The following is a 12,205-nucleotide window of genomic DNA, read 5'->3' on the forward strand; positions in this document are numbered from 1 at the left end:
AAGACTACTTATTAACAACAATAGATAGCAAACTGCAATGAGTCATAGCCTAAAAATTCTAAAAAGAAATTGAAATTAGACCCTTATATAAAACAAATCAATCAACCTAAAATAACAGAAAAGTAAATATGTTTTACTTTTAATACTATGAAATTTTAATATTATGAAACCTGTTAAATGAAAAAGTTTAAGCCCAAGAATGGTAGATGGAAATAAAAACAATGCACCAAAAAGAGAGAAAAATATTCAAAATAATATAGTAAAATAAAAGACAAAATTAGTAGTCCATTTTGGTCAACCAAGAAAATATTTTTGTGATAAGAAAATAACAGTAATTCTGTATGTATTTAAATACTGTTTTTTAATTAAAATGCTAGACAAACTACTTAGAATTTATGAAGGAGTTTTTCAAATAAAAGTTAAATATGTTATCTTATTTGGAACTAGCATAAACATATGAATAAATTTTGACTCATTTAAAATATATACTACAAACTTAAGGCTAATAACTAAAATAACAGAAGTGTAAATTATAAAACATTTAATCCAGAATAAGAATTAAAGAAGTAAAAAGAGGAAGACTTTAGAGCAAATGGAAAATGCTATTAACCCAGTATTAAGGTAGGGCACAGAAAATGTATGCTATACATTCATTGCTGGTGGGAATGTAAATTGATACAGGTATTTTAATGAGTAACTTAATATGTCTGATAGAATTTAAAATTCCCATGCCTTTTGATTCAGTAATTCCTAAATATATATGCTAGAGAAACAGTTGTTCACATATATAAAGAGACATATAAAATAATGGGCCTAGGAAATAGTGATTATAATTCAATATGATTTAAACAATCTAAAATTCCATCTAAATGAAATAGTTAAAATATTATCACATTCTTTCACACACACACACGGATTTTATTCAGCACTTTACATAGTTTGCCCTTTCTTACTCTCTCTTATTATGCCTATATACACAGCATAATGGATATATATATGTAGGCTCTCTCATTATCTGAAAAAAGCCACTAGTTATAGCACATGTATCTTACAGTGAATTTAAAACAAAACTCAAATCTTAACTCATGTAGTTTAGGAAAATATTTAAATTTTGAGACATGGTCTCAATCCAGACGTTAGGAATTATGTCTGCCTATTATCATGGGCCATTAGAACAAAACTTGATATACGAAAATCCTCGGTGCTGAGATTACGTCAATATATCAATATTGAGATTATGTCAATACATCAATATTTGTTCCAATTGCTCCATCATAATAGGAAGAAATAGTGCCTAATGACTGTATTGAGACCGTGTGTTAAAAGTTGAATATTTTCCTAAACTACATGAGTTAAGATTTGAGTTTTGTTTTAAATTCACTATAAGACACATGTGCTATATCTAGTGGCTTTTTTTTCAGATAATGAGAGAGTCTACATATATATCCATTATGCTATTTATATAAGGAATATAGAAAATATAAACCATAATTTTACGTTAGGATCATTGTATATGTTTATGTGTAAGTTAATTTTCTGGCCAGTTTTAGATATTTGAAAACAGTTTCATTTTTAATTCAATTTTTCTCTGAGTTCTATCCCAAGCAGCCATAATGTGTAAGGCAACGGGACAACAGACAGCATCCAGCAGGGATTCCTAAGAAAAGACAAAGCTGAAATGGGAGTCTGAATGACTTTTCTAGATCTACTTATTTAAAACTTAGGAGATCATAACATATTAAGGTAAAGTAACTTCTAAGCTTCTTTTTGAATCCCACATGAGATATACAAAATAACCTGCACTTTATTAGGTTGGTGCAAACATTATTGAGGTTTTTGCCATTGAAAGTAATGACAAAAACAGCAATTACTTTTGCACCAATCTAATAGATTTTTTAAAATTTATTTATCCAGAGTATACTCTACTGAATGTTTTTGTTTTAAGTGTATATATTTTTGTGTGAAATTGCATCAAAATTTAAATGTGTTTTGTTCTGTGGTTGATTGTTGAAATACTTTATATCTCATGTAAACGAAGAAAGCAAACATGTATCCAAATGAATAAAAGTAATTTGACCATTCTTCTACTAGAAAAAAATGTAATATAACATTTTTTAAATGTTTCTAGTTCTCATCAAGTACAAGTACAAGCGGATTTAGTAGCAGTATTTATAAATGCAGCAACCTCAACTCTGAGGTTGTTTCAACTTCTTGCCTTAGAGCAGACAAAAAGAAAAAGGGACAGAGATAGAGAAAATAAGATTCTGTTGGCATTATCAAGAAGGAGGAAGGGAAAGTAGAAGGATAAAAAAGTTCGACACAGGTGGAGTCTTTCCTAACCTCTCACCCTCACTTTTATTTTTGCTACTTTTTTTTCCTTTCATTTTGTGTGTAAAAGTTTAAGGCAGCATCCATGTTTCCAAGAAACTTTTCCTCACACTTTTCATCAACCATCGTTATTTTAGATCAAAGTGAAATTCTATTAAGCCCCAGACAAACTATTTGAATCGGGTATAAAGTCAAGGCCTTCCCACTAATGTCTTCTACTCCTATCCATACTTTACTGTAAAACACAAATCTAATTCTGTTGTCATCCTCCTTAAAAATCTTCTACTTCTTATTGTTTACAAATGAAATAAAAACCTCAGGGCATGTTATTCCAATTTCTTTACAGTCTGTCTCTTTTTAACTTTCCCTGCTTCAGCCCTGGTGTTTCCTATGTACCCTAACTATATATTTTCTGTATTTCTTCTACTTGCAGAGGAATCTACTATCGTGGAGTGTGTGTGTGTGTGCCCGTGTGTGTGTATATACATATATATGCATATATATATGAGTGTGTGTATGTATATATGTATGCATATTTACACATTTTTATTGTCCATTATTCTCTGAGCAACTTAAGGCAGTGCCTTCTGAACATTGCCCAGAATTGGCAAAGTGTAGGGGAACTTAAATATTTGTTAAAGGATTACTTTTAAATGATTATGAATGAGTGAATGGATGAATAAATGACACCCACCACTTCATATATTCAGGCCTACAGAGACCATATTTTTCATTATTTTCTAAAAATATTCTTTAAAATATAATGATAGATCTTATCAATGCCATTATCTCATAAATTGGTAAAACTATGTACAAAGCAATATGACATACTCAAGAATAGCCATAAAATTATGCAAACTTTCTGGCCCAAAAGTGTGACTGCTAGAATTTATTACAATACTCCTCTTAAACTATAAAAAAGTAGGGAGAAATGGATACTGAAATATTAGACACTTAGGTTAACCACAAACATTAGAAAGATTTTCTTCTCTAAGAGATATAGGAAAATCCTAGGTGCTGAGATTATGTCAATACATCAATATTTAGAATTCAGAGAAAAATTGAATTAAAAATGAAATGTTTTCATCTATCTAAAACTGGCTAGCAAAATAAACTTAAGCATATACAATGATCCTACTGTAAAATTATGGTTTACATTTCCTATATTCCTGAGCAATACTGATGATGAAAGTTTATTTTAAAAAATTCTGAAAAATATGAACCACACAGAAGTAATCACTAAAATGCATTTGTGTCTATTTATTGTCTATTGCAACACTCAGCTCTGCCTTCATAGCCTGATATCAGCCAAAAGAAGGTTTTTGTTTGTTTGTTTTTTGAGACAGGGTCTAGCTCTGTCACCCAGGCTGGAATGCAGTGGTGCGACCTTGGCTCACTGCAACCTCCGTCTCCTTGGTTCAAGCGACTTTGGTGCCTCAGACTCCCAGCAGCTGGAATCACAGGCCTGCACCACCATTCCCAGCAGTTTTTTTGTTTTGTTTTGTTGATATTTTCAGTAGTGATGGGGTTTCCCCATGTTGGCCAAGCTGGTCTGAAACTCCTGAGCTCAGGTGATCTGCCCGCCTTGGCCTCCCAAAGTGCTGGGATTACAGGTGTTAGCCACCACAGCCAGCCAAGTATTGGTTTAAATGTAGCTGTGTTTCAATAAAACTTTATTTACAGAGGAATTTTTTCTTTTACCTTAGAGAAGATTTATTTTTCTATACATTTGAAAAGAATTTTTTTAAGCAAAGTGCCCCAGGCAAATAACCGTTCTCATCTTGAAGAGGGAGCCAAGAGGCTTCCTCAGAAATTCTTTGGGCAAGTGGGGTCAGCTGGTTTCCAAGGCCCTTAGGGCAGCCTGATTCTCTGTCAGTGTTCATAAAACTTCCTAGAACATTAGCTCCTTAAAGGACCTCCAATACCGAAACTATCTCATTTAACAGACGGAAAAAGTGATGCTCACGCCAGAGAAGAGTCAGCCCAAGGTCATCTAGGATCAGTGGCACACCTAGGATTCAGGCCCAAGGACCCCCAGCTGACCTGCCTTCCCTGGAACCTCACTGTGAGTTCTTTAACCATGGCTGTGTTTTCAAAGTTGAACTGGGGCTGCTGTTGATACCACCTTTAAATGCCTGCTTTTGTCATGGAGACCATGAGAACTTCACTCTTCAGCTGGCAATTTACCTGGCTGCACAGTGCTCAGGCACACACAGGCTTCAGGGCTACAAGGTAAAGGATTTGCCAAGGCCAAGTGCTGAAACCCACTTCTTGTTTTGAAGCAAATGAGAACTTCCACCTGTATTTGACCTGGGTATGTATATTAATTAGTTTGGCAACTGAGATTTTTTTCTTGATGATCAAAAGTCCTAACTGGCAGTTAAATATGTCTTTTTTTTTTTTTTTTTTGAGACAGAGTTTCCCTCTTGTCACTCAGACTGGAGTGCAATGGCACAATCGAGGCTCACTGCAACCTCTTTCTCCCCAGTTCAAGCAATTCTCCTGTTTCAGCCTCCCAAGTAGCTGGGATCACAGGTGTCTGCCACCACACCTGGCTAATTTTGTATTTTTTAGTAGAGACAGGTTTTCACCATGTTGGCTAGATTGGTCCTGAACTCCTGACCTCAGGTAATCCACCCGCCTCGGCCTCCCAAAGTTCTGGGATTACAGGTGTGAGCCGCTGCCCCTGGTCAAATATGTCTTTTTAAAAAAATAATAATAATGACTTTTAAATACAAGTGACCTGAGTATGCAAAGTATTTCTAGACTCAGGGTTCTTAAAGTGAGGAAAAATTAGCAAAAGCATTATTTGACAGCCCCTAGAATAGGCCAAATATGAAATAACTAACAAATTGCAGATAGTAGTGTGCTCTACAAAGAAAAAGAGAGCAAGACAATGGATTACAGAAAAGATGAAGTTTATTTTAGATGGAGTATTAAGTGACAGATTCTATGAGGAGGTGAAAATTGACCAGACAACTGAAAGAAGTAAAACAGCCATACTAGTATCTCAGGAAAAATTATCGCAGGAAAAAAAGAGGAAAAATAAAATGACTCTATGTCGGAGGGAGTTTGGGCTGGCATGGTGGCTCATGCCTTTAATCCCAGCACTTTGGGAGGGCGAGGTGGGTGGATCACTTGAGGTCAGGAGTTCGAGACCAGCCTGCTGAACATAGTGAAACCCGTCTCTACTAAAAATACAAAAATTAGCCTGGTGTGGTGGTGGGTGCCTGCAATCTCAGCTACTCAGGAGGCTGAAGCAGGAGAATTGCTGGAACCTGGGAGGTGGAGGTTGCAGTGAGCCTAGATCATGCCACTGCACTCCAGCCTGGGTGACAGAGTGAGACTCCACAAAAAAAAAAAAAAAAGGGGGGGGTGGGTGGGGAGGAGGGTTTGGCATGTTTAATGGAAAAGGTCTGTGTGTGACCAGAATAGATGGAATGCAGAGAAGCAAAATATAGATTTTAATTTCCATGGTTCTTTACTGAAGAGTGTTTCTTATTTAAGTAACAACGCTATGATTAAATTGATTGTGAAAGAATTACAAATCTAGAATTTATTGCATGATCAGATAGGAGAACAGATTTGATTTGCTAACTCTGTATAATATACTACAGTGTAAGCCACCCTCTATTACTTTAGCAAAAGATGTTTTTTTCATTTTCCTGCAAGTATATTTTTTCTCTAAAACCTTAATTAGCATTTTTTAATATTGCTGAAAGATGGGGATATAAGTTCCATTTATTTCTTGAAACTGAATATAATTATCAAATATTGAAAAATAATAATGGGCATCATTATAATTACTGTTAAGTAGTTTTCCTGTGTAGAGAGAATTATAAAAATATCCTTCATTATCTTTCATGGATAAATGATGTTTTTCTCATGAGCCAGAGAAAAATTATCACAATGTCTGCCCAGGTGTTTCTGTTATGCTTACAGAAGTGAGTAGTGCTATTTGCAGACACTGTACTTTCTCTCTTTTTCATATGAGTACATTAATCAATTGTGGAGTTGTGGCATCTGCTGTAAAACAATTTGTTTTTCCATTATTTGATGGCTACACTTTTTCTTTTAGTTTTTTTCTCTTCTTATTGAATCACATTTTCTTTCCTCTTCTTTTAAAAATATTGCTGTATTGATTTACAAAAAATATATATTTTATTGCCTCATTTTAATTTTTGGTAATCCATGTACTGCTTTATTAAGGCCTATATAACTCATAATCCAACTCATCGATTAAAAGTTCAGGAAACCAAAGAGATGGCTTTTTCTCCAATTGAAGATATCATAATGATAATTTTGGGGGCTGGTGAAAACTGAGATTGTCAGAAGGCTAATTTTTTCTTAGATGTCATTTTTGTTGGTCACAAACTAGAGATGAAGCTCTCTACAGGCAAGTATAGAACCATCTCTCTGTGCAACAATTTGTATTTTCAGACCACTTTTAGTCTTTGGGGGTAGATACAATTACTTAGAAAAATCTTCAATGTCTCTTTGGAAAACAGTTGATCTCGAACTCAGTTCTAAAGCTGAGTCAGCATCACAGGATTTCAGATTCTTGAATGTTATTTTTGTTGTCTTTCTCTTACTAAATTGTTATCACTGAATATTTCTCCTTTGTTTTACTCCATTTGGACTGCTATAACAAAATACCATAGACTGAGTAGCTTATAATACAGAATTCACATCTCACAGTTCTGAGGCTGGGAAGTTCAGCATCAAGGTGCCAGCAGGTTCAGTGTCTTGTGAGGGCCTGTTTTCGGTTTCATGGAGGGCCCCTTCTCACTGCATCTTTACGTGGTACAAGTGGCAAGTCAGCTCTCTGGGGCCTCTTTTATAAGAACACTTATAGGAATATTGAATTAGTGAACGAGCTCTGTTCTCGTGAATTAATCATCTCCCAAAAGGCCCTATCTCCTAACCCATTTATGCTGGAGGTTGCAATTTTTGTGTGTGAAAAATCAGACCTTGGCAATGACCTTGAGCAGTAGGATATAAATAACTCCCACAAGCTTAGCATTCCAATAAGGGAACACTAGGCATAAATGGGCTTAATACCCTCATCTTAGGGGAAAGGATTTCAATATGTGAATTTTGTGAAACACAAACATTCAGACGGCAGCATCTTTGCTTTCTTAAAAAGTTAAATGAAACAAGTTCCCAAATTTAAACAAGCAGAAATATGTATACAGATAAGGGTAGAGGAATAGTTTAAAATTATTTTAATTAGATATTTGAAGTCCTCAGTACGCTACATTTATAAAAAAGAAATGGTATATGTGACAGGGAGCAAAATAAAACCCTGTGTCATAAAAAGAATCCACTATCAATTATTTAAAAAGATCTTAGCAAGGAAATATCAGCTTCGATATTACAAACTTTTCAGATGTGAAAAATGATTTATTTTCAAATATAGTTCAAATGAAGTTTTGCCTTAACAAAATGGCTTTTCTAAAGGCCACCTTTAGATCAAAATACTTAATCTAACTTGTGCCACTTCTTGGTAACCCTTGGTAACCCCTAAATTGTTTTCTCTATTTTCTCCAACTACTCTACTAAAAAGTTTCTTCCTATTTCTCCACATGGCTTCAAAAAAGGGAACATAAAAGAGAAATACCAGTCAGTGATAATCATGTGGAAAAAAATAATAATGTGAAGCAATTTTTGTTTGTTTGTTTGTTTGTTTGTTTTCTCTCGAGGTCATGATCTGGTACTTTTTTACAGCAAACTCATACTTAACAAATTTTAAAGATTTTTTAAAGAATGAACTAATGAATTGGGTTAGGTAAGTTTATCTTAACCATTCTTATGTCCTTTAATTTTCTGCACTTTGCTAGTATTTTACTTTTAGAATCCGTAGTCAGCTTGAATCATATTAATTTTCTGACAACTGAATAAAAAATATTTCAATATTTCATGCATCTTGTTTATTTGTTTGTTTTGGTAGTTTTTTTTAAGAAAGTGAAAGTAGTTTAATTTAGAGAGAAGCCATGGAAACCGGGAAACAAAAATGAGATTGTGATTGGGAAGGAAGGGATCGTCATCAATAAAATTGCTTTACTAAGCAAGTTATTGCTGGAGGTGACAAAACTTTGATCCCACTAGAGCCTTTAAAAGCCAGTATCGAACACACTGTTCAGTAATGCCACTCAAATGAGCAGTGCATTTATTTATTCATTCTTTATCAGTCATTTGGTTGGTAGTATGTTATTAATTCCACAGTAATTCTGACTTGCCACTTGCATGGACAAATTGGGTTCCAGCTGCCAGAAAAATCCTTCAGGCAAAGGATGCAGCTGCCACCAGTTGGAATTCTAGGGGATACTTGGTCTTTATAATTTCTGAGTACATAAGCATCTACTATATGTGCTTAATACAAATGAATGCCATTTTAATGTACCTTAAAATTTCTAAGCAAATACATGAAAAGCAATGTCTAATTTCTTGCTTATTTTCAAGGTATACAGATAACTCTGTTATATTCAGAAAGAGCAGGGACCTGAAAAAAAAAATCTGTGTTAAAGTCTCATATGAACTAAAAAGAAAAAGTAATTTATTCTTCTGCTACTTCTCTTTTCAGTAAGGGTGGTTGCCTTGTCTTGCTCATTGCAAGAATGAAAGCTGTATAAGTTGAATGAAAATATAAATATGACTTTGAAGGTGGGTAAGTCTTACCTTCCCTTCTAGCAGTCTCTGAAGTTGCTTGAACAATGGCTTATTTTATTATTAGTTGGGACTCTTTGGTTGCAAGTAATGGAAGTATACTTGAACTAGATTAGCAAAAATGTAAGGCTTGTTATAACATTGCACAAGCACAGAACTCGCTGCTGGCTGGTAAGATATAGGACTACTGCATTATGGGGATTTTTGAATTCTAATCTACTAGAGGGACCATTGTTTTAAAAGTTCTTTAGAAGTTATTCTTGGAACTACTATTTATACACGAAAGAATGTGGATGGATCTCAAAAGCATTATGGCAAAAGACAGAAACAAAAGGCTACATATTGTTTCATTCCATTCACCTAACATTTTAAAAAGCACAAAACTATAGCAGTAAAAATGAATCAGTGGTCCCCAGAGACTAGGGGTAAAGGAGCAACTATAAAAAGGAGACTTTTGGGATAATGGAACTATTTTAAATATTGACTATGGTTGTGGTCACAAGACTGCAAAACTGTATACAGTTATTAATATTTATAGAACAATACACTTCAAAATGGGGGATTTTATTGAATGCAAATTATACCTCAATAAACCTGATTGCTTTTTAAAATATATATATATATATAAATATGAAATAGATTATTTTTAGTAAGTGACTAGAAAAAGGGCAAGCAAAATAATCGGTAACTTAGTAGGCAGCAAATTATTGTTCATTTATTTAACTCAGGTTTTAGAAAGTCCATTGTGAAGCTAGTAAAAGATTGTGATTTGAATTATTTCTCAAATTATAGATGATTTTTAATGAAGACAACAGATATACCTAATAAATTATTTTTAATTGATCCATGGATACTATCTTATCTTTATTCACACTTAGATATAAGAAAACACTAAAGATAGACTTAGCATGTTTCTAAAATTAATTTCTCTAATTTGCAACACAGCACATAATAGTCATGATAATTAAGCCAACTGATATCATAATTTATGATTACTTCTTGTCAGAAACTGTGATATTATTTCCATTGAGTAGGAAGTGGGGAGTGGGGCAATTAAACTTAGTGCTAGAATTATTCTCCTTTTAAGCATAATTCATCAAAATCAAGAGTGAGCTTCAAAATGACCAGTAATAAAAGTAGGAAGAGAGATGATTTTCTATAAAGTGCAATTTATGGATTCTGGATTCACAGAGAAAATAAACACATAGTGAATTAGGTAAAAATAAAAGAGGTAAAATATCCTGCATGTATTCTATTAACAAGATCAAAAGAAAACAAAATTTACATTACCGTAGAGATCTTTATAGCACCCCGTTTGTTAAATTGATATTGTTGTGTTAAAAAATTGACACAGACATATTAATGGCTACAAAGAAAGAAATAAAGAACTCCTTCTCACTTTTAAATAGATTCTGGATTCTAGAGGATAGTCCACACTTTCTTGTGCAATTGTTTAAATGTTGAAATTGCTGACATTAAGTGTGTATGCATTTACATGTTGAAATGCCACACAAAGGGTTTATTAATTTACTCTTTTTATAAGCAATGTAAGTCCTTGGTCTCTACAGTCTTATCAATATCAAGTATTTTGTACATTACTGATTTTGCCAATTTAGTATATGAAGAAAAAGCCCACAATATAATCTTTATTTTGTTCAGTGGTAAGCAAAGTTAAACATATGTTTTTTAAAAGTCCCATTTTGCGTCTTGATTTCAAATCATCTGGTCATATTCCCAAATATTTATATGTTGCATTCTTTGATTTTTATTCATTTATGGAAAAGTTTCGGGGATAAAGAAGGATTAGTATTTTCTGTGTTCCACATGGCTGTTCTAGACCATTGAAACTCCTGTCCACATAGTGTCTTATTTTTTTTAATAGTTTCACATAGAAAGTATGTTAATATACATGATCTTTTAATTATTTCCACATAAAAGGTATTTAGAATTTATCATTATTATCATCATTTCAACTTTAGACTTAAATAAACTGAACCTCAAAGTGGTCAATGACTTGACCGAGTCCCAAGTAGAAATGAAGCTGATTTTCTGGCTTCTTTCGTATTTTTTCAAACTACATATATTCATTACATTTATTTTACTAACAAAGTATTGCTTTATCCTTTCTTATGAACCAGCATTTTTATTGTTTTTTTAATTAAATTTATTCTTATTAATAAAAAAACAAGTCAATTCCTTGGAAATTTTTGCCGAAACCTGTTTTACATTTCAATATCTCCATAATTGGCCATAGGCTTTAATGACATTGAACTCCTTCTTTCTCTGTTGCTTCAGGCTTGTCCATAGAAGTAAATATTCGCATGATTTTAACTTTCCAAACTGGCCCGAAATAATTTGTCTTAACTATTGTCAAATTATTACCCACTTTGTAAAGCTGTGTTCAGTTTCTTCTCCTCAATGAAAACGTTCATGGTCATATAAAAATATGATTACAATTTTTCTCACTCTCTGAGTTACCTTGTATTTTATAATATTTTCATGTAAGAAAATGAGCTGTCCATTTTAAATGTCCATCATAATTCTTCAAATAATGTTTATAAAATTATACTCACTGGCTAGTAATATGCAGTTTGGCAACAGAATGAGACTATATACAAATTAATAAAGTCAGTTGTTGGTCACAGTTAACAATAATTTTTCATAAGCTTGGAGTTGAGGAAATTCAAAGGCACTCAGTATTTTTTTAAATTAAGAATTGCAAGAAGAAAGAGACAGAAAATGAGTATGTTATTCAAAATGAAAAGATCAATGCAATCATCCAAACCCAGTTAAGACTGTGTAACAGTGCAAAACAAGGTGTTTCTAATATTTCTAGAATATCACTGTCTTTCCCTTATAGTAGGCTCAAGATTTCTTTAAATGACGTAGGGAAAGTAACTTTCCATCGGCAAGACAGAAAATAGCTATTGGGAGATTAGGGTAGGAGACGGAAGGAAAGCAAAGGGAAGGGAAGGGGAGGGGAGGGGAGGGAAGGGGAGGGGAAGGAGAATGGCAGGAAAGAACAAGAAAAGGAGGGAGAAAGAACTAAGAAAGGAAGAGAGGAAGGGAGGGGAGGAGAGAGAGAGGAAAAGAGGATGAAAAATGAGAGGTGGAATAACAGCTAGACAGGAAAGGAGAATGAGAAAAGTAAGACGCAAACAGGGAGAGCAAAAATTAAAGTAACCTAGATGTGGCAGTCAAGAGATTGTGA

This window comes from Homo sapiens, chromosome 3 (genome assembly GCF_000001405.40).
Source record: "Homo sapiens chromosome 3, GRCh38.p14 Primary Assembly".
In the NCBI taxonomy this organism is placed as follows: Eukaryota; Metazoa; Chordata; class Mammalia; order Primates; family Hominidae; genus Homo; species Homo sapiens.